We start from the raw sequence: 27127 nt of genomic DNA, 5'->3' as shown, positions 1-27127 counted from the left end.
GGCGTGTGGGCAGGGATTGTCAGGCCTCTGAGCCCAAGCCAAGCCATCACATCCCCTGTGACTTGCACATATACATCCAGATGGCCTAAAGTAACTGAAGATCCACAAAAGAAGTAAAAATAGTCTTAAGTGATGACATTCCACCATTGTGATTTGTTTCTTCCCCACCCTAACTGATCAATGTGCTTTGTAATCTCCCCCCGCTTAAGCAGGTACTTTGTAATCTCCCCCACCTTTAAGAAGGTTCTTTGTAATTCTCCCCACCCTTGAGCATGTAGTTTGTGAGATCCACCCCCTGCCCACAAAACATTGCTCCTAACTCCACCGCCTATCCCAAAACCTATAAGAACTAATGATAATCCACCACCCTTTGCTGACTCTCTTTTCGGACTCAGCCCGCCTGCACCCAGTTGAAATAAACAGCCATGTTGCTCACACAAAGCCTGTTTGGTGGTCTCTTCACACAGACGCACATGAAAGGGATCTCATCTATAATTAGAAAGATGGTGCTAGCTTGAACCCAGGTGATGTTTCTTCAGGATTGCCACTGTTTTGTATTGACATTCATCGAGTAGAATGATCTTTGGGTCATTGGGTACTTTGGGGCACCCTAACTATGTAGGAGCCAGAGTTTCACTAGCTTCCCCAGCAATCCTTGCTTAGTCAATTGATTCCTATGTCTGCAGCCAAATGCTATAAAAAACTCTGGGGAAGGTAAACTCCTCCCATCCTCTTGGTTTTTCAATTAATCATTTAGATGGGAAACATAAGCCTACTCAGGTAAAAAGACACGTGAACTTCAGGCCAGGATCACAATCCTGTCCCAAATATATGACTTTCCACCCTCCCTCAACCCTTAATGGGGGTGGGCGTAGGGGAGTGTATTTTTAAAACAAATGATTTTAATTCATTCACTGTTTCCTAGCAACCAGGAAAAAGCATGTGTTCCTGATGTCTGTGAGCACCAGTCTGAGATGCGCGGATGCTTCAGCATGCCTCCAGAAGCAGAGAAAGAACAAAAGCACTGGAACCGGTCTCCGGTTGGTGAGCGATTCTCAAAGGGGAATTTGTTAAGAGCAGGCACTTAATAGAACAGCCCGAGAGACCTGTACCACGATTGCAGGTGTGCAGCAGGGAACCTGCATGGAATGTGCAGATATTCTCCAGGAAATGATATTCCTATAGAATTTGGGGGCTCTGACTTCTAGGGAATTGTTTCTATGAAACAGCTAAAGCCTGAGACAGCTGACATCTTTCCAGTACCTCTTTTGTGTGTGCTTTCAGCCACACACAAAACACACAGCGGTCTTGTTTTCTTTAGAGCTCTATAGACAGAGAAGAGGGATAACTGGCAGAATTCAAATCTAGCTGAATTAGAATCCATGCAAATGGCCTTCTTTAGACCAGGCGTAGCTACTAAATGCATATAAATCACTGACTTCCACAGCTGTAAGGGACCTCTCCAATCATTCAACGCTTGTTTTACAGAGGAAGAAATGAAAAAACATAGGCAAATTAATTTGTTCAAGGTGCACAGCTAGTTGGTGGCCTCACAGGGTCTTCTGACCTACAGTTTAGTGGTTTGGGAGTGGGACATACTCATATTTTAAAGACTGAAACCTTTGCATATTATACCATATTGAATGGTGGTGGTGGGGGCAGGGGATGGGGAGGATGAGGGATGATCTAAGACGAAGCTGTCATAACAACGAAGCAATGCAAATATTATAACTTGTAAATCTGAAACTCAAAGGGCTTTCTCAGAATTACAAGACAAGAATGGATTAAAGCACATGCTAACTGTGCCTTACTCCCTGCCAAGGAATTGAGATAGGCCAAATAGTCTAGCAACAAATGTTTTTCCAAACTATTGAATCAGAAGAATTTTAATGCATGCCAGACTTTATAGAGTTACAGAATGTTAGGGTAAGAAGTGCTCTTGGCAATGTTAACCAGGCCCATCTTTTTCGGATAACACCTGAGGCTGGGAAGCAGAAGACGCACAGCCACATCAATGAGTGTGGCTTTCCTGGGTCCAGTGCTCTCTCTTCTCTAGGCAATAGGGCCACCTCTATGGCTTGCTGCATCCTCTCCCCATTGACTCTGTAGGGAGCAATATTATTGTCTTGATACTTAATCAATTTCCTGTGAAATGCTCTTACTTTCTTCCCCACTTTCATCTTATCCACATCCCGTCCACTCCCCAAAAACTAAAGCAGATGTAGCAGCAGCAAGAATGATCCAAAATGGCTGGGCACGGTGGCTCACGCCTGTAATCCCAGCACTTTGGGAGGCTGAGGCAGGTGGATTACAAGGTCAGGAGATGGAGACCATCCTGGCCAATATGATGACACCACCCGGTCTCTACTAAAAGTACAAAACAATTAGCTGGGCTTGGTGGCGTGCACCTGTAGTCCCAGCTACTTGGGAGGCTGAGGCAGGAGAATCACTTGAACCCAGGAGGCAGAGGTTGCAGTGAACCGAAATTGTGCCACTGCACTCCAGCCTGGTGACAGACCGAGACTCCGTCTCAAAAAAAAAAAAAAAATCCAAAATAATGAAGGTGGCCTAGGGAAGCATTCATTTAGATCAGCGCCATCCTGTTGGCTCTCTGCTTACTGTTGGTAGAGCTGAATCAAGTGAAGCTTAGTGTTTATATGGTACCATTTTCAAAAAACCGTTTCTAAAGTTTGTTTTCCAATCATCTTTAGAGTAGTGATTTAAATATACGTACAATTTTAAAAGTACAAAGGGTAGTATAATGAACATCCATGGACTTAGAATTCCAGAGTCAACAACTATTAACATTTTGTTATATTTGAGTATTAGGGTTCCTCAGAGAAATTGAACTGACAGGATGTGTGTGGATACACACACACACACACACACACACACACACACACACACACACGGTGCAGTATAGGCTTAACCATCTCTTTCAAATATTTTGATTTTACAGAATTGGCTCACATGATTGTGGAGTCTTGGCCAGTCCAAAATCTGATAGAGGAGGCCAGCTGCCAGCAGACTCAGGGAAGAGTTGCAGTTTGAATCCAAAGGCTGCCTACTGGCAGATTCCTTCTTGCATGGGGGAGGTCAGTCTTTTGTTCTATCAAGGCTTTCGACTGATTGGAAAAGGCTCACTCAGATAGAGGGCAATCTGCTTTCAAAGTCCACTGATTTAAATGATAATCTCATTAAAAAAAAAACACCAGAAACATCCGGGATAAAGTTTGAACAACTATTTGATCATAGAGGCCCAACCATAAAATAAATTTAAAAATAAATAAAACATCACAAATAGAGTTGATACCCTATTTATACCTCTCCCTGTGTACCCCATTCAATAGTGATGATTTTCTATAGACTCCTTTTTGGTGACTTCAGACTCCTTTTGACCCCATCACCTGATCTTCAATTTCTGGTTCAATGTGGGGGTGGGAATTGAAGACATATTTCCCATAACCATATTTTCTTTCAAGGATCTCCTGGCAATAGGAGAGTGTAGATGGATTCTATGGAAAACTCCATTATGAGCCACTGAGCCAGGGTGAACTCACTGGGAGTTGAATGCTCACAGAAAAACCCAAACACATTCAGATCTAGATGGATCACATCCATCTAGTTTGGATGGTTCTGCCCGAATAGTCTCATCAGCTATTACACAAACCATTTTGGTTTTACTTGCTAGATTATTGCAAGGAAGAGTAAATTAAGTAAATAAGTGTTGGAAAAATTTGGAAGGAATAAAAGGTGTCAAATAAACACAAAAGTACAGTGCATGAGCCTCCAGGTGGCTTTTTGACCCTGAACCTGCCGAGTAAGAGGCCTGAATGAGGTGCTCCCTCAGATCCCTTCCAGAGCCTAGGACTCCATGACTGGTATTTGGAGTGATAGCATCCCTAACTCATATTCTCTCTGATTTGCTGCTGTAGCCTCTAGACTCAGAGAAGCTGGGTCTAAGTGTAGTGTTAGCTGCAGATACCTGCTCAGCTGGCTAAGCCTTTAACATGGAAAGAAGGCTCATAAAGAAGGAAATGAAAAAGCTCTTGTAAGTATGACTGAGAATAACTTTCATTTATGACACTTGGCATTCGGTGGATTTCATGTCATAGATGGCTTGGGTATTGGCAGTGGGTAAAAATCTAAGAATCTATTTCTGCATGGTAGGAGAAAACCAGAGGATGATCTGGCCTCTCTCGGTTTCCTGCCAGGGAGGCCTCACCTGTGGTGCGAGGCAGGATGCTGAAACACTTGGGAGGATGTTTCTGCTGGCAGCCTGCACATCCGAGGCATCCACATTCTAGAGCCTGAGAGCTGAGCCTATGTCCCAGTCAGCCTGTGTAGGCAAGATACACCGTTGAAAGGGGCTGGCCCTGCTGGTAAAAGGTATAAGAGAGATTCCTGAAAGGGCCCAGAATCTAAATTGCAGCCTCTGCTCTGCCTCTTTTATTGTCAGCCTTATCAACTAAGAAATTCATCTCCTTTTTCTTTACATCTGAACATTTTTAAAACGAACACAGAAAACATCAAGTTTCCTGTGAAAGAAATGTTTTCCTCCCATGGCAGTGTTTCTTTGACTTGTACTTAACAAATGTTGGTGAAAGATCACAAACCATATAAAAAGAAAAAAGAAAGATTATGTTCTATGTCATATGTGTTATAGACAAAACAGTAATAGCCTTTTCATCAAAGAGCTTATCACCATCCCCATCAAATATCTTTTCTCGGCCTCCTAAGATAATTTTATTTTAACAAGCCTTTAAGAAATACTAGAAGAAACTATGAATATACATATATGTACATATATACATGTATACACATATATGTGAATTCATATATAGTACACGTGTACACATATATGTGTATGCACATATATGTGAATTCATATTCATCTCTTGCTTTTAAGCAGAGATTATATTGGCATCAGACTTCAGGAAAATGAATTTGACCCAAAAGGAAGAAGGGAACTTACCTTTCTAGATGATATGGTAAAGAAAGACATGCTGATGCGAGTCATATTTGTGTTATATGTTAGAGGCCAATAGAATAGTAAAGAACAAACCATGATCAGGAATGCCAACTCTTCCACATATCTCATCCAAATAATTGGAATTTCAAAAGTGATATAAATACAAGTTTATATCCAAAGAATACATTTAGGCTACTTTAAAGTATCCTGAAATTTCGGCAGAAATTTAAGAATTTTTATCAATCTAGTTAAGCTTAATGACTCAGAAGAAAAGCTTTCAGAAGCCAGAAATAAACTTATTCTCCACCTTATGTAAAATTGAGATGTGCCAAAATCAACCTGGGAGATGCCATAGTCCTTCTTTTCCTGCACCTATTTTTTCTCTGTCACATTCCCGGGGTAGCACCTTTCTCTCTTCTCTCCTCATGGTGCTTATTTTACCTTCTTTTATTAAAAGTCACTGTTAGGAAAGGATCCACTAAGGATAAACTAAAGTGGAATCACTAATAAGTTTTTATGCATTCCTCCTCCTAAGGGTATTTGCATTCTAAAGAGAAAAAGCCTTACGGCAAAAGAATACTTACCTACAGAATTTTATATATCTGGAATGTATCAACTTTGGACATGCTGCTTGAATTTAACACGGGAAGCAAATGATTATTTTAAACAGTGTGTCTCAATCCTTTTGGTCTTGTAAAACCATTTCTGTGTGTGGGTATTTAGCATATTCCTTGCTTTCCTGTAAATTCTGTTCCAATTGAGTTTAATTTTTAGATAAATGTTATTTCAGTTAATTATGGTTAGACATTTTAAACTGCAGCATTGTAGAATTGTCGTGTAAACCAAAACCGAATATTAACTCAGCTACCAGAGCATCTGCAAATTCTCTTGTATTTTGGTGGGGGAGGGAGGGATGGGAAAAAAAAAAGCCTTTTTCTGCAGACTGAGCCCGTGTCACTCCAATGGTTCAATGCTGCTCTCTTGCTTTTAAGGGGAGATTATATTGGCATCAGACTTCGGGAAAATGAATTTGACCCAAAAGGAAGACGGCAACTCACCTTTCTAGATGATATGGTAAAGAAAGGCACGCTGATGCGAGTCATATTTGTGTTATATGTGTATTAAAGAGACAGAAAAAGGATCTTATTTATACAATAAACAAGGCTAATATTGACACCCATCCCCCAAATGTCCTCTTCCTCATCTTCCCCTCACCCTGAGATTGTTCATATGGTCATTTCAACCCACTAACCAGAAAGCAAAGAGAATGAGAAAATAAAAATCATGAGAGTTATTTGCTATTAGGAAAGAAGATTAAAAATCAAAATTAATGCCAGGCAAAATGTTACGTCTGTGGAGTTAAGAGTTTGACAAAATTAGCTATCATGTAGTTCTCAAAATAATTTCTTTACCATTTGCATTAGTGAGAGAAAACCAAATAAATTAAGTAACCCTAAAAATCCTTGGTGTTATTTATTTCGAAGCCCAGACTCAGGATCTGAAAGTTCACGTCACAGAAATTGAGGAAGAAACCATATAAAGATCTAACTCAAAAGAAATTAGCAAACCCTCAGTTTTTTCACTGCCCATTTACTATCCTTACACTAATAAAAAAGACTCTCTCCCTCCACTCCCCTCTCCTCTTCTTCTCCGACTAAAGTAGAGCCAGGCTCACTGGCTTTCAAAACTACCCTGGAGCTAAGGAAATAGTTAAGCCTTATTCTCTGTGTACACATATTAAACAGAGAAATTAAGTAGATTAGAGCAGTGCTTCTCAAACTTTAATGAGGTCGTATTACAAGGCTGTTTTGATTCAGGAGGTGAAGGGGGGCGGGGGTGAGGGGGGCGCCCCCGCGGCCTAGGAATTTGCATTTCAAATGACCAAACAAGTGATGCCAAGGCATCAAACTTTGGATCCGGTTGCAACATTTGGTCATGGTCCCATTCTTCCTGTTTATTTATTCATTTAGGTTCACTGTTCAGTTTGGTTCAGTCCCTGGAAGAAATAATTCCACCGTTTAAAAATGTTAAAACTTCAGAACGCCTCTACAAAAATTAAAAACAAAACCAATCTTCCGTTTTCTGTGTGTGGGGACTGAAAGGAGAGAAGGAATATTTTGATAGACAAATGGTAAATATGCTTACTGAACAAGAACTCTTAGGAATTACTAGGAAAAGGTGGTCACCATGATAAAAATAAGCCTCCGCATTGGTTCTCAGCTTTTTACTATACGTGCGTGTGAAACTCTCAGCAAGTCACTTACTCAGGTCTGCCCCCTTCCCCGCCCGCTCCGTCCTTGCCTCATGCTAGTTCCTCTACCTGTGATTTCCTTCCCCATCTGTAGACATTCTCATCCCACAAGCCCCAGCTCCAATGCAGCTTCCCTCTCTGAAGCTTCTTGGGATTCTAGCTATCTCCCCAGGTAGACATAAAACGGCCCATCCCTCCAAATTCCCACCACACTGCCCCTGTACCCCTGGAAGCACATTTCTGACATTCTACTCACAGAATCAGAAATTGTTCCCTGCAGCCCTGTTCCCCCACCCTTACCTTTTACTATGTTAAAATTTAGGGAAACTGAGGCCCAGAAAGCATCAGTTACTCACCTAAGAATATTCCGTGAGTTGTTGGCAATACCTAGATTTGAGCCCAGATTTTCTGATTCCAAGTTTATTATTCTTCACTGATCTCTCCTTTCTTTTCCAAATCACAGAAATCAGATAACTGCTCTAGTGGAAATAAATTTAATGTCTCAAGATCCCAAAATATTTCTGGCTGATTCATCCCTGTGAGGCGAGGTCTCAGAAAAAAAAAAAAAAATCTGGCCGAGCATCAGGTTATTAAAGCTAATGATCCTTCCCATTTTGGACATGACAGACTAGAATAGGCTTAGCAGTCCCATTGTCATTGGGTCCAGGGAGTACTTCGGCCAATGTCTAAGCCTGTTTCTTTGCTCTCTGTGCTTCCTGCTCCCAGGCACACTATGACTTGGCCATCAGTGTTGCTTTGCAATGGCTGGATCCCTCAGAAGACTTAACTTGGCTGGAGTGGGAGGAACTGTAAGTTGAAGTAGGTTTGTTGCTTTCCTCTTTAATTTGTGCCTATGATTAATGATAGAGGAAGTTCCAGCCCTAACATCTTCCATCATGAGGCACTTTGATTTGAAAACACTACTGGGTGAATATCCCTCTTCAACGAGACACCTGAGGAACCTGAACAGTTGCCAACTTGAAGAAGTTACATGTTTCCATGTTTTGCATCTCTATACTAATTGACTTCAGTGAGATGAAAGACTTTCTTGCACAGAATGTTGTGTCTTAAGGGGCCGGGCGCGGTGGCTCAGGCCTGTAATCCCAGCACTCTGGGAGGCTGAGGCAGACTCATTACTTGAAGCCAGGAGTTCAAGACCAACCTGGACAATATGGTAAAACCTCGCCTCTATTAAAAATACAAAAATTCGCCTAGCGTGGTGGCGCACACCTGTACTCAGGAGGCTGAGGCAGGAGAGGAGAATCACTTGAACCCAGGAGGCAGAGGTTGCAGTGAGCCAAGATTGTGCCACTTCACTCCAGCCTGGGCAACAGAGTGAGACTCCATCTCAAAAATAAAGAATGCTCTGTCTTAGAAACATGACTGCTTTACTATGTACATGCCATGATTTAAAACAGTCAGTTCTATGGGTAAAGACTGTAACCTTTTCCTAAGGACTACCAAACAAATTCTTAAGCATTTAGGCAGACATGTATCTGAGCTGAGCTGTTTGAAGCGCAGAATAATTTTCTTTCTGGGATTACCAGCATTTTCTGTCATGTATAGGGAGTGTTCAGGCAGACTCACTCAATTGGTAAGAACACAGAACTAATGAGGACAGGATCAAATAGCTTATTCTGGAGGCCTGTTATTTTTTTTCTACTCAATGGCTCTGGACTACACACCTGATCCTAGAGAGTTGTAACAGTTAGGGTTTAGCTGTAATGACCAATTTGAAAATCCAATTGAAAATCCAATTTGAACAGCCTTAAGCAAAAAAGCTGGGGAGTAGATTTTATTGCCCTTGTATCTGAAAAGTCCATGGGTAGGACTGTGTTAGGCATGGTTTAATTCAAAACTCAAACAATGTCATCTGGATCTACCTCCTGACTCCATTTCCTCAGGGTGAACACCATTCCTAGTTTCAGCCCATTTCATTATCGGGGAAGGGTGGATATATTTTTTTTTAATCACCCAATTGTGTCTCAGTGGCTGTTACCTGGCTTGTCTAGGGTTGGACAGTGGCAGCGCAGGGGAGGTGGAATACGCTGACAGCTCAGTCCACAGTGTGTTTTTCATCTTTGGAATCTAGGGGTGTAGTCAGCTTCCCTAGAAGCATATAGGCTTACAGTGGGGTTAGGTAGTTCCCCCAAAGCAAATTGTCACAAGAAAGGGAAAGGATAATGGTTTGCAAAACCATCAACATCCACCACAGTGGCCAGTCTGCCAATCTTTGATTGCTGTGAAAACATGGATAGATGAGGCCAAATTCATCACCATTATTGGAAGATTAAAAATTCAAAGTGTGGATTTCACCGATGGAGGAACAATCATACCAATTTTATTAATATAAATAAGCAGATAGCACACAGCCATTGCAGATTACTTATCGATTATCATCACAACCTTAGCAGGCATCAAAAAGAACAAGAATAAATCTTCCACTTGTATTTCCTATTCCCCATTAGGAAAATACCACTCCATGGCAGACCCATATATCCAAATCGTAGAGAACGAGAAGCTATGATTTTATCATCTTATGCTGGAATCTTAATGGTAAGGAAAAGAATACTATCTGCCTATATGAATATTTCATATCTACTCTGAGCATTTTTACAGTAATGAATATTTACATTATTTTTCAACCAATGTTTCTAAATGTTTAGGAGTTATTGATAGTAAATGTTTCGTTTTTTAAAGTAATAAAAAGACTAACTTCTACACTGTATGTGAAAACATTTATTTAAGAGGCAAAGAAAAAAGAAAAGAATGAGAGACACAACTAATTGGTATCTGGAAAACTGATTTATCCATTGATCAGAAGTTATTTACTGTATTTAATACTTATGATACCCAAGCACAGTTTTAGACATACTGGAGCTATATTAGCTTTGTTTTATAATAAAAGAAAAGCCATGGTATGATCATACTTTGTTATTGCTGTTGTTGTTTAACAGAACAGTATCCCGATTGAGGAAGTCTTTAAAATTTATGGGGCTGATTCTTCTGCCGATTCTGGTACCATCAAGGTAAGGGTGACCTGGGATTGTCAATAGAAGGGATTTTTAGAGATAATTTATTTAGTGTATAAATGTATAATGTTGTATTTTCAGACATCAATTATGAAATAACAGTTTTACATCAAAATGTACAAAACCAGACATAACCATTTCTTACTTGAATAACGTGTGTGAAATGCCTTTCATATGTAAAAGACCATGCAGTAATAACAAATGTATCTTGTGTACGGCTGAGAAGGGGCAGCAATGAGTACCAGGCTTGGGGGCAAAACTTTACTCTGTTGTGGTTTTGTTTTTTTTTTTTGAGACAGAGTCTCACTCTGTCACCCTGGCTGGAGTATAGTGGTGCGATCTCGGCTCACTGCACTTCTGCCTCCTGGGTTCAAGGAATTCTCGTGCGTCAGCCTCCTGAGTAGCTGGGACTACAGGCATGCACCACCACACCCGGCTAATTTTTGTATTTTTTGGTAGAGATGGGGTTTTGCCATGTTGACCAGGCTGGTCTCAAACTCTTGGCCTCAAGTGATCTGCTTGCCTTGGCCTCCTAAAATACTGGAGTACAGGTATGAGCCACCATGCCAACCTCTGCTCTGTTTCTAATAAATGTAATTTTTCACGTACACTTTTTGTAATGTAGATCTGGTAGGTCCACACAGTTCCCTTCTATGATGTACTATATCTTCTAGAACTAGGACAAGATCCACAAGGCTCATTCTCATGACAAATTCCCTAGTTTACTGCTGATACATCTTCCTTTCCCACAACACTACTACATTTTTTAAAGACGGGTCTCACTGCTGGTCTCAAATTCCTGGTAATCCAGTAATCCTCGAAATCCTGGCCTCAGCCTCCTAAGTAGCTGGACTATAGGTGTGAGCTCCACTCTCAGCTCCTCCCATGAAACTACTTTGAAATCATTAACAGTAGAAGCAGCAATGACCTGGGAGTTCAGAGACCTGGGTTTGAGTTCTGACTCCACTACTATGAAACCCTAGATGCGTCCCTTTCCCCTTTCGGGCCTCCATATGACTGATCTTAAAAAAAAAAAAAGGGTGTTCTGAATAATTTTTAAGACCACTTCCATTTTTGCCACTTGTAAATGTATGAACATTAAGTAAACATTTAAATATGAACTGCTATTTAGAGGTGAACTACTGATCCCTTCACCTTTGGATACCTCCAGAAGAGGCAAGAGGAAAGGGAAGGTGAGGTGGCGAGGGCCATGCAGTGGGAGGGGGGAAGGGGGGCACCAACGTCCTCACGCCCAGGTCTTCTGCTCACACTGTGGCTTTCCCTGCCCCCACCTGGATTCAGAAGGGAGGGCAGGGCAGGGGCAAGGCTGTGGCCACAGGAATGCCTGCCTCCCTTATTCTTTTACTGCAGGTCATTGTGCAAGCAGTGGGGTCATGTAGAGTTCAAGAGCCCACCAGGTCCACCTTAGAAGTCAAGTGTTTACATTGAAACCAACTTTCCTATCACTTTAATCCATATGTAACCTGACTGTAGTCCTGAGACTCAAATGCCCTTGATCATTGTGAAAATCAGAACTTTCTCTCTGATCCCTCTAGTTTCAACTCACTTCATTCATTCACTCACTCATTCATTCACTCATCTGTTCATTCAGTATAATTGTAGGTGCAGGGGATACAGTGGTGAGCAAGTCAGACAAGATAACTTTTTAAAAACTTTTTTGCAGGCCGTTTGCAGTGGTTCATGCCTGTAATCCCAGAACTTTGGGAGGCCAAGGTGGGTGGATCACCTGAGGTCGGGAGTTTGAGACTAGCCTGGCCAACATGGTGAAACCCCAACTCTACTAAAAATACAAAAAATTTGCCAGGTGTGGTGGCGGTCGCCTGTAATCCCAACTACCAGGGAGGCTGAGGCAGGATAATCTCTTGAACCCGGAAGACGGACGTTGCAGTGAGCTGAGATCATGCCACTGCACTCCAGCCTGGACAACAAGAGCAGAAACTCCATCTCAAAAAACAATTAAAAAAAAATTTTAGGGATGGGGGTCTCCCTATGTTCCACAGGCTGGTCTTGAACTCCTGGGCTCAAGCGATCCTCCCACCTTGGCCTCCCCTAATGCTGGGATTACAGGCATGCATCACCACACCCAGCCAAGATTACTTTTCTTATAGATCTTATATCCTATATTGGAGCTTACCTTGTTTGAGATATAAGCCACCCCAGGCCTGACGCTCCTCAGAGATCAAGCTGTTCTTGGTTTTCAAAGAAAGCTCAGCTCTCTGTGTTCCTTGGATAGCCAAGCAAATCATACTGCTTTATTCCTGCTTGTCTTTTTCTGCAGCTTTCTCCCTTCTAGGCTGCCCTTTCTCCTTTTCCCCTACCCCTCAGCACATATACACACAAGCCTGAGCCCCAAACCCTTCTGTTTCAGTCACTGTTTTCTCCCTGTCACCTTCTGGTACCTGGGAGAGGTCTAGAAAGGCATCAGCACATCTGACTAGTTGGTCCCAACTCACATGGCTAAAAGACTAATATGGAAAAACACATCCTAGAGAGGATGGCACTGTGGACCCCTCCAGGTTTGGCTGGGTTATCAGTCAAGAAGGTTTGCAAACATGGGTGTCTGAGTAGCTCAGATAAATCAGGTTCATTTAAAGTTGCTAGAAGGCTGGGCGCGGTAGCTCATGCCTGTAATACCAGCACCTTAGGAGGCAGAGGTGGGTGGATCACCTGAGGTCAGGAGTTTGAGACCAGCCTGGCCAACACGGTGAAATCCTATCTCTACTAAAAACACAAAAAATTAGCGGGGCGTGGTGGTGCATGCCTGTAATCTCAGCTACTTGGGAGGCTGAGGCAGGATATCCTGGGAGGCAGAGGTTGCAGTGAGCCCAGATTGTGCCACTGCACTCCAGCCTGAGCAACAGAGCAAAACTCTGTCTCAAAAAAAATAAAAAATAAATAAATAAATAAATAAATAAATAAAGGTGCTAGAAGGGGAAGACAGGCCATGTAGAAGTGGACCAACCAATCTCTACCTATCCATCTGATCACTCATTTATTCATTAAAGAGCCTTTGTTCAGCACCTTCTCTGTTCAGTGACACATAGTCCCCATTCTCACAATCAGTGACAATAACCAGCTCTAAACAGAAAGAGATAATATTATCACAGAGGCTGACTTTTTTTTAAAGGCTTGTATTTGTTTTGTGTTTTAGTTTTTGTTTGTTTGTTTGTTTTTTTCTTGAGATGGAATTTCCCTATTGTTGCCCAGGCTGGAGTGCAGTGGTGCAATCTCGGCTCACTGCAACCTACGCCTCCCGGGTTCAAGTGATTCTCCTGCCTCAGCCTCCTGAGTAGCTGGAATTACAGGCATGCGTTACCACGCCTGGCTAATTTTGTATTTTTAGTAGAGATGGGGTTTCGCCATGTTGGTCAGGCTGTTCTCGAACTCCTGATCTCAGGTGATCCACCCACCTCAGCCTCCCAAAGTGCTGGGATTACAGGCGTGAGCCACCACGTCTGGCCGCTTGTATTTTGTTTATTGCTATGTGATGTGAATGATGGCTCGATTATATATATTATAATATATAATATAATGTATATTACATATACACATATATATGCACACACTATATATAATATATATGTATGTATATATATAAAATCGAGCCATTGATTACTATACTACTATATATGTATACATTATCTATATACGTATATGTATACATATGTATATAGTATATATGTGTACTATATCTGTATATATGTATCTGTATATATGTATATATGTATACATATACATTTCTGTATATATGTATACATATGTATACAGATATGTATACAGATATGTATACATATGTATACAGATATGTATACACAGATATGTATATATATACACCTATGTATACATATGTATATATAGTATATATATAGATATATTATCTGAGAGGCAGGTTGTGTAATGTTAAGCACTAGGATTCCAAAGCCTGGCCTCCTGGGTTTGAATCCCAGCTCCACACTTACAAGCAGAATAATTCTGGGCAAATGTTCTAACCTCTGTAATTCTCAATTTCATTTGTAAAAACAGGGACGCAAAGATGGGGTTGTCGTGGGAATGAAGTAAGTTAGAATCAGTGAAGCCCTTAGTGTTTGGCCCATGGTAACCTCCAAATAATAGCTTTAATTAAAGTTCTGCTACTCAGGGAATGGAGTTCTGGGGCTGTCCTGTGCATTGTGGGATGTTTCACAGCATCCTTGGCCTCTGCCCATTAGATGCAAGGAGCTTCTCGCCAGTTGTGACAAAAATGTCGGCCAGGTGCCGTGGCTCACGCCAGTAATCCCAGCACTTTGGGAGGCCGAGGCGGGCGGATCACTTGAGGTCAGGAGTTCGAGGCCAGCCTGGCCAACATGGTGAAACCCCATCTCTACTAAAAATACAAAAATTAGCCGGGTGTGGTGGTGGGCTCCTGTAATCCCAGCTACTCAGGAGGCTGAGGCAGGGGAATTGCTGGAACCCAGGAGGCAGAGGTGGCAGTGAGTGGAGATAGTGCCACTGAACTCCAGCTTGGGCAACAGAGGGAGACTCCGTCTCAAAAAAAAAAATGTCTCTAGACTTTGCCAAATGTCCCCAGGGAGGCAAAATCACATGAGATTGAGAACCACTGCTCTAAATATTCAAAAATTAAATAGCTAATCAAGCATCCACGTGTATTATTAACACAATGTAAACTTTGCCTCTTTTGGACAACCAGTGATCACAGAGGGCGTAATTTGAATTACCAATACAAGAGTCTAAGAGCCTGAGGATCTGCCCCGTGAGCCTCACAAGCTCCCCGCCTCCAGAACGCCAGTTCAGGCCTTACTCTTGGAGCTACACATCAGCTGCACACAGGGACTTTTGCCACATTTTGAATTAGGCATTAGCAGGACCTCTCGATAGCAATGTAGCATTTCAAAGACTGAACGGTAAACCTATTTTAAAAGAGTCTTTTGGAATTTAACATAATTTCAAAAAATGGTTTTAACTAGAGTTTTTTAAAAAAAAAAACGATATTGCAAGAGATTCTTCTTTAATTGCTACATATATCTGAATGATTCCTTCCGATAAAATGTCTCCTAAGCAACAGCTAAAATCCTTCCCAAGCAAAAGCTTAAAACTCTGTTGAATACTAATCAGATTATGAAGAATTTCCTGCAACTGGAATTGGCCGCATGACACAATATGGGTACTGTGCTAGGCTGGATGGCTTTCTCCGGGATTATGTGCTGCCACCTGATGGTAGAAAGGAGTCATAGGCGCGGGATTGCTCACCTACTCTGTTAGCCTCGGGTTCTCCCTCCTGAGAGGGAACTGCTTTTTGCTGATTGGGAGCTTTTTTCTGCTGAGGATTCTGGACTCATAGAAAAAATTCAACTAAAGACCTTACGCAAGTGAGAGTTATTGACAACTAGCCCCGGATAAATATAAAATGTCTTACTCATTTTTTTTTTAAGACAGAGTCTCACTCTGTCACGCAGGCTTGAGTGCAGTGGTGTGATCTTGGCTCACTGCAACCTCCGCCCCCCCCCCCCCCGGGGTTCAAGTGATTCTCTCGCCTCAGCCTCCCGAGTAGCTGGAATTACAGGTGCGCGCCACTGCGCACGGCTACTTTTTTTGAATTTTTAATAGAGACGAGGTTTTGCCACGTTGGCAGGGCTGGTTTTGAACTCCTGACCTCAACTGATCCACCCACCCCCCTCGGCCTCCAAAAGAGCTGGGATTACAGGCTGAGCCACCGCGCCCGACCATGTCTTATTCGATTTTAACCTGAAGAAAAGAGAACATAAATCTTCCTTCAACAAATCGAACAAAAATAAAAATATTCTTCAGCTCCATTTGATGGAGAAAGAGGGAGACAGAGAGAGTGGAAATGAGCACATCAGAAAGAGGAAAGAGACAAAGGCAGGTGGTCAGACAGCACTAGAACCTCTGCTTTCCTTCTTTCTTCATGCAGCCGGACCCCGGCGTCTGACTGGCTATCATTCGAGTCCATCCTAACTGACATCCAAGTCCAGGGCATGTCACAGGCAAACAGACTGATGTCCAGTCCCAGCTTTGTCACTTGCTAGCTGTGTGTCTTCGGATAAGTTATTTCTCTCTGATTCCCAATTTCCCCATATGTAAATAGGCATGTCTAAACAGGCATGATTACACTTACCCAAACACACCTGATCACTCTGAGGACTCAGTGAGACTGCACGTATCGAGCACACGATGGTGGCACCAGGGGACCTTCCATATTAGTGCTGTTATTTCCAAGTTCGCCCCCACTCGGGATGACCACCCTCCTTCCTCCTGATAGCAACCTGGTCCCTTCGTGATAGGCCTGGCTTCCACCCTCTCACACTTACTCCAGTAATTTGCCAAGCATCTTCTCTTTTTGGAGGATGCTGACTCAGACCGAATTGTGCAGAAATTTTAAAATGTTTTCATGATAAGGGGAGGGACCTATGTTTTAAACAAAAGTTCAATATTGACAGATCTTAATCATGAGGAATTGGCCAGGCGCAGTATCTGTAGTCCCAGCCCTTTAAGAGGCTGAGGCAGGAGAATCACTTGAGCCCAGGAGTTCGAGACCAACCTAGGCAACGTGGCAAAAACCTGTCTATACCAAAAAATACAAAAATTCGCCAGGCATGGTGTTGTGTGTCTACAGTCCCTGCTTCTTGGGAGGTCGAGATGGGAGGATCATTTGAGCCTGGGAGGTGGAGGCTGCTGGGAGCCAAGATCTCGCCACTGCACTCCAGCCTGGGTGACAGGGTGAGGCCCTGTCTCAAAAATTAATAATAATAATAGTAAATGAGGGATTAAAAACACACTTTCAATATTAATTGTGTCCAAATGAACACTTACCAATATATATTTAAAAGACAAAGACCAAGCAAACAAACAAATCCAAGTGTGTAAAATGGAACAGTATTAACAGCTTTAAAGCTCTCTGCATACCCTCTCCTGTCTCATACCCTTCCTTTCGCCCTAGGTTACCACTAGTTTGAATTATGTGTTGATTACTATCTTTTACTTCTTTATAGTTTTACCACATATGCATTTCTAATCTATATATTGTTTAATTTTGCACATTTTTTGAGTTTTGGTGTTTTGTTTTTGTTTTTGTTTTTTTGAGATGGAGTCTCGCTCTCTCGCCCAGGCTGGAGTGCAGTGGCACGATCTCGGCTCACGGCAAGCTCCGCCTCCCGGGTTCACACCATTCTCCTGCCTCAGCCTCCCAAGTAGCTGGTACAACAGGTGCCCACCACCACGCCTGGCTAATTTTTTTGTATTTTTAGTAGACACGGGTTTTCACAGTGTTATCCAGGATAGTTTCGATCTCCTGACCTTGTGATCTGCCCGCCTTGGCCTCCCAAAGTGCTGAGATTACACGCTTGAGCCTCCACACCCAGCCTTGAGTTTTTATAAATAGGATATTAGCAAATGTGTCATTTAATGTCTTTCTTTTTTCATTCAACATTATGTTTCAGAAACTTATTAATACTGCTGCACATAGCTAACATAGCTATAGTTTCTTTTCACTACATACAGTATTCCACTCTAGGAATATACCACAATGTTGTCATCTATTTTTCCATTTCAGGCACTTGAGTTTTTTTTTTTTTTTTTTTTTTTTGAGATGAGGTTTTAACTCTTGTTGCCCAGGCTGGAGTGCAGTGACGCAATCTCGGCTCACTGCAACCTCTGCCTCCTGGGTTCAAGCAATTCCCCTGCCTCAGCCTCCCGAGTAGCTGGGATTACAGGCATCCACTACCACACTCGCTTAATTTTTTTGTATTTTTAGTAGAGGCGGGGTTTTGCCATGTTGGCCAGGCTGGTCTTGAACTCCTGACCTCAGATGATTCACCCGCCTCAGCCTCCCAAAGAGCTGGGATTGCAGGCATGACCCACTGCGCCTGGCCAAGTTATCTCTTGCAAAAGCAAGAAGCATTGCACGGCAAAAGAGTTTCTGTATGGTATATGCCTAGGAATGAAATTGCTAAGCCATGGGTATAAGCATCTTCAACTCTCTACATAAAGCTAAACTGCTTTCCAAAATGGTTGTACCAATTCTATTTCTACCAGCAATGCAGGTTATCTATACTGGCTTTTTCAGTTTTGTCAGTCTGTTAAGTGTATTATGGTATTTCACTGTGGTTTAAATTTGCATTCCCCCTGATTACCAATGGACAACTATTCATATATTTCTTCCTCTGTAAAGTGCCTGTTAAAGACTTTGGGCCAGATGAGTGAACCAACAATTCTGCATTGGGTAGGCAGGGGGAACTGTGCCAGCAAGGGAGAGTGGGTGTGGGAGGACATCAGGATACATTTCTCGGAAGGGGTCATATTTGAGCTACATGATAAAAGAGAGGTAGGTGCCTCTAGGCAGAAAAGGAGGAAATGGCTATAAAGGGAACTATGTGAAGAGTGTCTGTGCATGACAGGGCATTCTAGGAAATGGGAACCAAGTACAGGAACAAAAGGCCATGTGTGCAAGTTCACGTTCATATACTTCACGTGCCCCATCAATGGACTGTGGACAGTGTGTCCGTTGGACAGTACTCAACAATTGGACTCAAGGATTCTGAGTTGATTAAATAGGCCAAATGCTGTGACTAGCAGGTGTTCATGCCGCAGATGATGGACAGATTTTAAAAGTAGGACTGTTTTCCTTTCAGGTTCCCCGAGTTTCATCTCTCTGCCTCTCCTTGCACCCCTTTGCCATGTTAACAGCACCCAAAGCAGCAGCATACGCCCGCAAACAGAGTAAGCCTGGTTACTTTCACCTGCTTAGAGGAATGTAAGTCAAACTAGGAAATTAGGAAGTAGGCTCACCAGGTAAGGTCAAAATTGTAATGGGAATTAGATTTCTATGTCTGGTTGAATTTAAAAGAACCAGGGGCTCTTAGGGCTTGATTTCCCTCCATTACTGAAATCAAGGAAGTCTTGTTTCTCAGATGCTTTGGTGATGGGAGCAAAGCACTCCAAAAGCAAAGGATCTAAAACTGTGAGTGGGCTGGCTCACACTGGTAATCCCAGCACTTTGGGAGGCTGGGCTGGAAGGATCTCTTGTGTGCCCAGAAGTTTGAGACCAGCCTGGGAAACTTAGTGAAACTTCATCCCTACAAAAATAAGCCGGGCACAGTGGCTCATGCCTGTAATCCCAGCACTTTGGGAGGCCGAGGCGGGCAGATCACCTGAGTTCAGGAGTTTGAGACCAGCCTGGCCAACACGGTGAAACCCTATCTCTACTAAAAATACAAAAATTAGCTGGGTGTGGTGGTAGGCGCCTGTAATCCCAGCTACTCAGGAGGCTGAGGCGAGATAATCGCTTGAATCTGGGAGGCAGAGGTTGCAGTGAGCTGAGATTGCGCCACTGCACTCCAGCCTGGGCAACAAGAGTGAAACTCCATCTCAAAAATAAATAAATAAATAAATAAAATAGCTGGCCATGGTGGCACCCTCCTCTAGTCCCACCTACTCAGGAGGCTGAGTTGGGAGGATTGTTAGAGCCCAGGAAGTGGAGGCTGCAATGAGCCGTGATGGAACCACTGCACTCCAGCCTGAGTGACAAAGTGAGACCCTGTCTCAAAAATAATTAATTAGTGAAATGAAATTAAATGAAACTTTGGATGGACACATTTTTAAAAAAGTTTTATATACAGATATGGTTACTGCATCTGTCTGTAGGTGTCAAGTCAAGAAAGGTAACAACAAATAAAAATGCCACCAGCATCTCTGCAAAGGAAGCAAATGCCACAGAATGGAAATCATCACAAAGGTTTTCAGACACACAGCCAAAGCACAAAGTAGGTGTGAGATTGTAAATTGGACCAAACTGATACCAGCTATTTTGGGAGTACTTTCCTGATACCGTGGTTAAAAGTCTAGCCTTTGGAGTCAGGTGCTCTGGGTTTGAATCTAGAGCCGACTGCTTACCAGCTATGGGACATCAGGCAAGATACTTAAACTCTCTGTGCCTTAGTTTCCTCATCTGCAAAATGGAAGAATAATGATATCTACCTCTTAAGCTTGTTGGGGTGATTAACTGAGATTATTCATGTTAAAAGGTTAGAACAGTGCTTAGCATGGAGTAAACCCCAAATAAATACTAGCTATTATTATCTTTTCAGCATTTGAAAAATACTATCCACAAGTTAATTGGCTGTTACTCTGTTGATGCAAATAAGCATGTTGAGGAGAAAGTTTGTATTAATTTCTGTATCCCAAATGTTTCTATCCTTGATCCCTCTCTCAGCAATAATAATTTTCTTTTTTCCTGCTTAAAGTCTCCCCTGCTCCTCCCCTGTCCATCTGATTCCTGATTTATTTGTGGTGGAATTCAGAGAATGGTCGGAGATGGACAGGGTTGGAAAGAAAGGAGAAAGGGAGGAGGGCTCTTTGTTCTTCCAGCTCTGGGCTCTCAGCTGTAATGTGCAAAGTGAAGAGAAAATTTAAGAAGTCAGAGAGACTTCTCTGATCAACAGAATAAAAGCTGAGCGGGGAGAGAATCAGAAAAGTGGTACAGGGTGGGTGTCTGGGATTCTGGGATATTTTAGAGTTTTGTTGAATGAGAGATGTTAGATATGCTGGAAGGCTGTAAGGTAGAAAACGGGGAAGGGAACTTTGAGAACTGATATACTGACTTATGATTGGGTTTGCATCAGGAAACAAGTGACAATTTAAATTTTATTTTTATTTAGTTTGGCTGTTGTACCATGCATTTTTAAATTGAATCTCTGAATAGACTGGACTACATGAGGCTTAGGATTTATTCAGATTTCAGAGGCAAACTGTCTTCTCTGTCCCTTATATCTGATTAATTAGAAATGTAACCTTATCATAGCAACTGCTTTAGGAACTGATTGAATTCTTTGGTCATATCAGGGTTTTAATAAATGTTATTCTGATAACAGAACAACTGCACTATTTGGGGAAATTATCACCATATTCAATTTTCCTTCAAACATATTTGCTATAATAAGATTTGAAGGTATTAGATTTTCTTTTCTTTTTTTCTTTTCCTTTTTTTTTTTTTTTTGAGACAGAGTCTCACTCTGTCACCCACACTCGAGTGCAATGGCACAATCTCAGCTTACTGCAACCTCCACTTCCCGAGTTCAAGCGATTCTCCTGCCTCAGCCTCCCGAGTAGCTGGGATTACAGGTATGCACCACCACACCCGGCTAATTTTTGTATTTTCAGTAGAGGTGGGGTTTCACCATGTTGTCCAGGCTGGTCTCAAACTCCTGCCTCAGCCCCCCAAAGTGCTGGGATTACAGGCGTGAGCCACTGTGCCCGGCCGAAGGTATTAGACTTTCTAGAACCATATCTTTGTTTCTGAAGAATTTTTTGAAGAATTTGAAAAATGAGGTCATTTTTTATACGTGTTTGGAAGCAGCAAGTTTTAGAGAGCAAAACAAAACAACAATGAAAAAACAGTAACAACTCCAAAAATCACACACACACACACACACACACACAATCTAGACTTTAAACTTAATCACACACACACACAAAAAGATCTCTGAAACAGGGGTTTATAGACACCCCCCGCAAGCCTCATCAATGGACCCTATGTAAGGAAAACCTACCTCTAAAGATTACTCATTGGTATCTTATTTTTAAATATAATTTTGTTCCATATATATTTTCTTCCACAACCAATGAAGATTTTTTGATTCTTGATGGAAGCATATCTTTTATTTCCTTAGTATTTCTCACATGTATATAAAGTACTTCGCAGGCAGCAGAGATTCAGTAACAATTTTTATTTAGTGAATTGGCAGTAGGTAGTAAGCGAATAGTCCTTAGGTGACGGTTCTCAAATCTCTGTGCCCTGTCTATAGTGATCAAAGGCTCAGTTCTGGGGACCAGACCTTTCTATAGGCTGATTGATGCTTGCGAGCCCAGGAGTGTCGAAAGAACAAATGCCCATGTTTTAGTAGGGCCCCAGGTCCTGAGATGAATCCCTTCCAGAAAAGCCCTTTCTTAATAATCAAGCGACAGAAAACTCGTTTGTGTTTTTTCTTTCACACTTTATTATTTGTGCACTTTAGGCATTTTTTCCAACTCTTTTTTTTTTTTTTTTTTGAGACGGAGTCTTGCTCTGTCGCCCAGGCTGGAGTGCAGTGGCGCAATCTTGGCTCACTGCAAGCTCCGCCTCCCGGGTTCACGCCATTCTCCTGCCTCAGCCTCCCGAGTAGCTGGGACTACAGGCGCCCGCCACCACGCCCGGCTAATTTTTTGTATTTTTAGTAGAGACGGGGTTTCACCGTGGTCTCGATCTCCTGACCTCGCGATCTGCCCGCCTTGGCCTCCCAAAGCGCTGGGATTACAGGCTTGAGCCACCGCGCCCGGCCCAACTCTTGGGTAATGTATCTTTTAAACTAGTTTTAAAAATTTTAATAGTGTACACACTTATAAGTAAAATTTTCAAGCCAGACAAAAAATATAAAATGAAAAGCAAAAGAACTCCCTCTTCTTCACACCCCTGTCCCACTTTTCAGAAATAACCACTGTTAATATTTCTTATGGTATTTAATTATTTGCTACACATATACATATAAACATACATATATGTATGTCTCACTGGTTTGTTAGAATTCTTTCTATATTAAAGGAATAAGTATTTTATTAAATGGATGAAAAACATGCTTTCACAGCTTGGTATTTGAAGAAGATTTTCATTTTAAATATTTGAGCTTACTGTTTTTCCTTTTTGGCTTGCAGATATTATATGTCTTTTAGCTGAAGAACAATTTTTTTAACCTCAAGATAAAACAATGCCTTATTCAGAATTTTTTATTTATTTCCAGCCACCGAATTTCTTCATAGAGTAAGAGAAAAGAGGAAATTATTAAAAAAAAAAAAATCACAGCCAGGCACGATGGCTCATGCCTATAATTCCAGCACTTTGGGAGGCCAAGGAGAGCAGATTACTTGAGGTCAGGCATTCAAGACCAGCCTGAACAACATGGCAAACCCCATCTCTACTAAAAATACAAAAATTAGCTGGGTGTGGTGGTGCACGCCTATAATCCCAGCTACTAGGGAGACTGAGGCATGAGAATTGCTTGAACCCAGGAGGCAGAGGTTGTACTAAGCCGAGATTGCACCAGCGCACTCCAGCCTGGGCAACAGAGCGAGACTCTGTCTCAGAACAAACAAACAAACAAAACCCTCAGTGTTCTGGGAAACAGTTTTTTGTTTGTTTGTTTTTTGTTTTTTTTGAGACAGAGTCTTGCTTTGTTGCCCAGGCTGGAGTGCAGTGGTGTTATCTCGGCTCACTGCAACCTCTGCTTCCCGGGTTTAAGCGATTCTCCTGTCTCAGTCTCCTGAGTAGCTGGGATTACAGGTGTGCACCACCACACCTGGCTAATTTTTGTATTTTTAGTAAAGATGAGGTTTCACCATGTTGGTCAGCCTGGTCTTGAACTCCTGACCTCGTGATCCACCCACCTCAGCCTCCCAAAGTGCTGGAATTACAGGCATGAGCCACCGCGCCCGGCTAGGAAACAGTTTTAAAGATTTTTTTTTTAAATTGCATTGTCCTAGGAAAGCGTCAGTAGTGGGCACATTACTAGGAAGTAAATTTGGAATGAACACGACCATACTAAAGAGCTAGAATACAGCATACTTCTTGAATCCAGGCTACCCACTTAATAACTTGAGTGAGTTACCTAATCTCTCTGTGCTTTTAGTTTTTCATCTCTTTAAAAAGTCATAATAGTACCTACCTCATAGGGTTGTTATAAGCATTAAATAAGTTATATGTGTAAAGGCTTAGAAAAGTGTCAGGACAGGCCAGGCATGGTGGCTCACGCCTGTAATCCCAGCACTTTGGGAAGCCGAGGCGGGCGGATCACGAGGTCAGGAGATCAAGACCATCCTGGCTAACATGGTGAAACCCCATCTCTACTAAAAAATAGAAAAAATTAGTTGGGCGTGGTGGCGCCTGTAGTCCCAGCTACTTGGAGGCTGAGGCAGGAGAATGGCATGAACCCAGGAGGCGGAGCTTGCAGTGAGCCGAGATCCCGCCACTGCATGCACTCCAGCCTGGGTGACAGAGTGAGACACCGTCTCAAAAAAAAAAAGTGTCAGGACAGTGGCAAGCAATAATATAATCGCTCTCTTCATCACCACTCATGAGAAATTCATGCTATCATGAAAGGAAATGAGACATAGAGAGAGGACAATTTAAATTTAAATCCAAAGCAATACATCAGAAATTCAAAATAATATCCTACAAGCATAATACATAACTGCTAAAAGGCCAAAAACTGATTTGCTTTGGGTAGGATTGGTTAAGAGAAGTATAACTTTTTAATGTAAAAATAATTTCAAACTTAGAGAAAATTTGCAAGAATAATATACAAAGAACCCACGTATTCCTTTTATACAGTCACGAATGGTTAATGTTTTGTTCTGTTAGCTTTATTATATTCTGTCTTTGTCTCTCTGTATATAGATAAAGATATATAATTTTTTTCTGAGCCATTAGAAGTTATGTATATATACTCTACCACTTTACTCTATGTACCTCTGTGTGTATTTCTTAAGAACAAAGTAATTCTCTTAAATAACCATAGAATAGTTATCAACTTCAGAATATCTATTATTGGTACTTTTATTTAATGTACTCTCTATACACCAATTTTGTCAATTGACCCAATAATGTTCTTTTTAAGCATTTTTTTCCTTCTGTATAAGATCCAGTATGGGATCACATATTGCATTTAGTTGGGAAATATAACTCAATTTCCAAATATATCAGAATAATTCCATGAAAATTCCTTTGTAATTACATTAATCTAATCTATCTTTGTCAGTAAGTTAGTATCTGATATTTGACCTTAACTTCCTATAGACTTAAAGTAATGTCTGTGTCCATGTTAAATTGATGTGCTTGATACCAAAATCATCTTTTATTCTGCAGGTCACTTAGAAAATTGGAATTGTACCATGGAACTTCATAATAGATTCTCTGGGAGCAGACGAGAAGCATCATCTTAAAACCACAGCTCTTGCCAGTACATTTTTCTTTACAACTGTTTTTGGTACAACTGCACTGAAGTGTTATTTTTGATGTTGAGCTTTCTTCTTTTAGAAGCATATTGCATGGCTACATTTTCTTAAAAAAAAAAACTGTGACCTTATGCTACTTCATTGTGACTGGAAGACTGCTGGAGAATTCAGAAAGTATATAGTATTTCTGTGTTAGAGCAAGCTGGCTTTGTAGCACATTTTACAAATGTGTGGCATTGAATATTGCACAGTGATGGAGTGGGAGGCAGATTTCCAAAGAGTTAATCCAAAATAAAATTAATCTGTCATTGATTGCCTTTACTGTGTTCTCATATGAAAAGAATGTTTAAATCATTTCAATAAAGCATTAAAAAAATGAATACAGGCTTTCTCTCAGTAGACTATAATGACTACTAGGAGGGAAGATGTTCTGGTCTTTTAGTACCTTTCCAAAATGCTGATTAGGCACATGGCTTAGCCTATCAATGTATGTAATAACAACTTGATCACATGAATGTCAGTACACATAATACATTTCTTAAGGTTTTGGTGTGCCATCTGTCTACAGAACAGTTTTCATCAGCATGTACAAAAACACAGATGGAGATTGTAGACTTTTTCTGAAAATGGTGGTATATTCTCATGTGGGGCTGGGAGACCAATGCAGCGTTTTCCACACTGGGTTTGATTATGGTTCTAAGATTTACCAGTAAGCCTGCAGCTAATTAGGGGGAGGCAAAGGAGGGAATCAGCAACTTGCGGTCCCTGCATGCACTGCTAGGTGTTTAGCTTCATAGGACTTCACCCAGTTTTCTTTTGCCTAGCTCTGCTAGTTATGAGGAAACATTTTTTTCTCGGTAGCTACTGCTGTCTCTCCTTTTACCACCTGCGCGTTTGCCTTACATGCTGCCTGAGGATTTTCACAAATGACATTGTGAATGTGTTGCTAGCTGTGGTCAAATACTCTTTTAGAATCCCTCGGTGGGTCTAAAGCACAAAGGTGTTTGATTTCATCTTCCTACATACATGTGGAATGACAAAAGACAGTCTGGGGTTTGGAGTCTTCCTCCACACTTGCACATCTGAGGAGTACTTCTAAATCAATAAGTTGGCAGCAATGGAGAAGGCTGTTAGGCAGTCACTTGGGTTCAATGAAACAGTGATACTATTGAAAGGAAAAACACAGGCAAATCATCACGCTAATTTTAAAAAATAAAAGCAATGCTAGAAGGAGGGTGGCAGGGGGAGGGGAGTGAAATGTTCCTGTGTATTTTTCTGCTCTTCGAGCCTCTCACAGATTCTCAGGGTTTCTTTTTATTTTTAGCTCAAGAAGTGTTTAATCTCTTGATTAAATATACCTGCTTCCAGTATTTACTGCTTTTCACCAGCACCTCAAAGTCATACATTTAAAGATTGATTTTATTATTTTTTCATCTCATGAAATTGTTATATTTATAATCGAATTTTTTTTTCTGTCTGGCTGAAGATGGCAGATATAATAGAAAATTAAGAAAACAGCAGCAAAAAACAAAATATAACAACATAAAGCTAAGATCTATAATCTTGCCATTCATTGATTACCATGATTGATATGTTGGTATAGTACACACTTCTAATCTTATGTTTTCCCTACATAAATATAGGCAAAATATTTTTATCAAAACCCTATCATACTGATGAAGTCACTTAAGAAATATAATTGTCTTTCAATTAGAGGATTTTCTGTCTGGGATTTTTTTTGTTGCCTCTTCACACTTCAAGTCCTTCTGGAACGCATGTGTTCTCATAAGTGACCTCAGATGGAACCACCAACCTCCATCTCAGCAGTTTCCATAGGCAAACATTGCAGAATGCTGG

General features: G+C 41.5%; 1 protein-coding gene across 8 annotated transcripts; it reads left to right on the top strand.

The window, feature by feature from the left end:
- The first annotated feature begins 966 nt into the window (after positions 1-966).
- On the top strand, positions 967-25650 carry C2orf80 (chromosome 2 open reading frame 80). Of its 8 annotated transcripts, none has more exons than XM_017004074.2 (9): positions 967-1040; positions 3936-4051; positions 5965-6046; positions 7950-8032; positions 9692-9779; positions 10181-10252; positions 18922-19009; positions 22502-22615; positions 25182-25650. In XM_017004074.2, exons 2-9 carry the CDS (start codon positions 4011-4013, stop codon positions 25256-25258), a joined length of 645 nt encoding a protein of 214 aa, XP_016859563.1. In that variant the 5' UTR covers positions 967-1040; positions 3936-4010; the 3' UTR covers positions 25259-25650. The 8 variants fall into 8 exon arrangements, with proteins under 8 accessions (XP_016859563.1, XP_016859565.1, NP_001092804.2 ...); XM_017004076.2 differs by lacking the exon at positions 22502-22615 and adding an exon at positions 19934-20052; NM_001099334.3 differs by lacking the exon at positions 22502-22615 and adding an exon at positions 19934-20052 and having other exon boundaries at positions 967-1044.

Source organism: Homo sapiens, chromosome 2 (genome assembly GCF_000001405.40).
Source record: "Homo sapiens chromosome 2, GRCh38.p14 Primary Assembly".
Classification (NCBI taxonomy): domain Eukaryota; kingdom Metazoa; phylum Chordata; class Mammalia; order Primates; family Hominidae; genus Homo; species Homo sapiens.
This window is presented reverse-complemented; position numbering and strand designations above follow the sequence as displayed.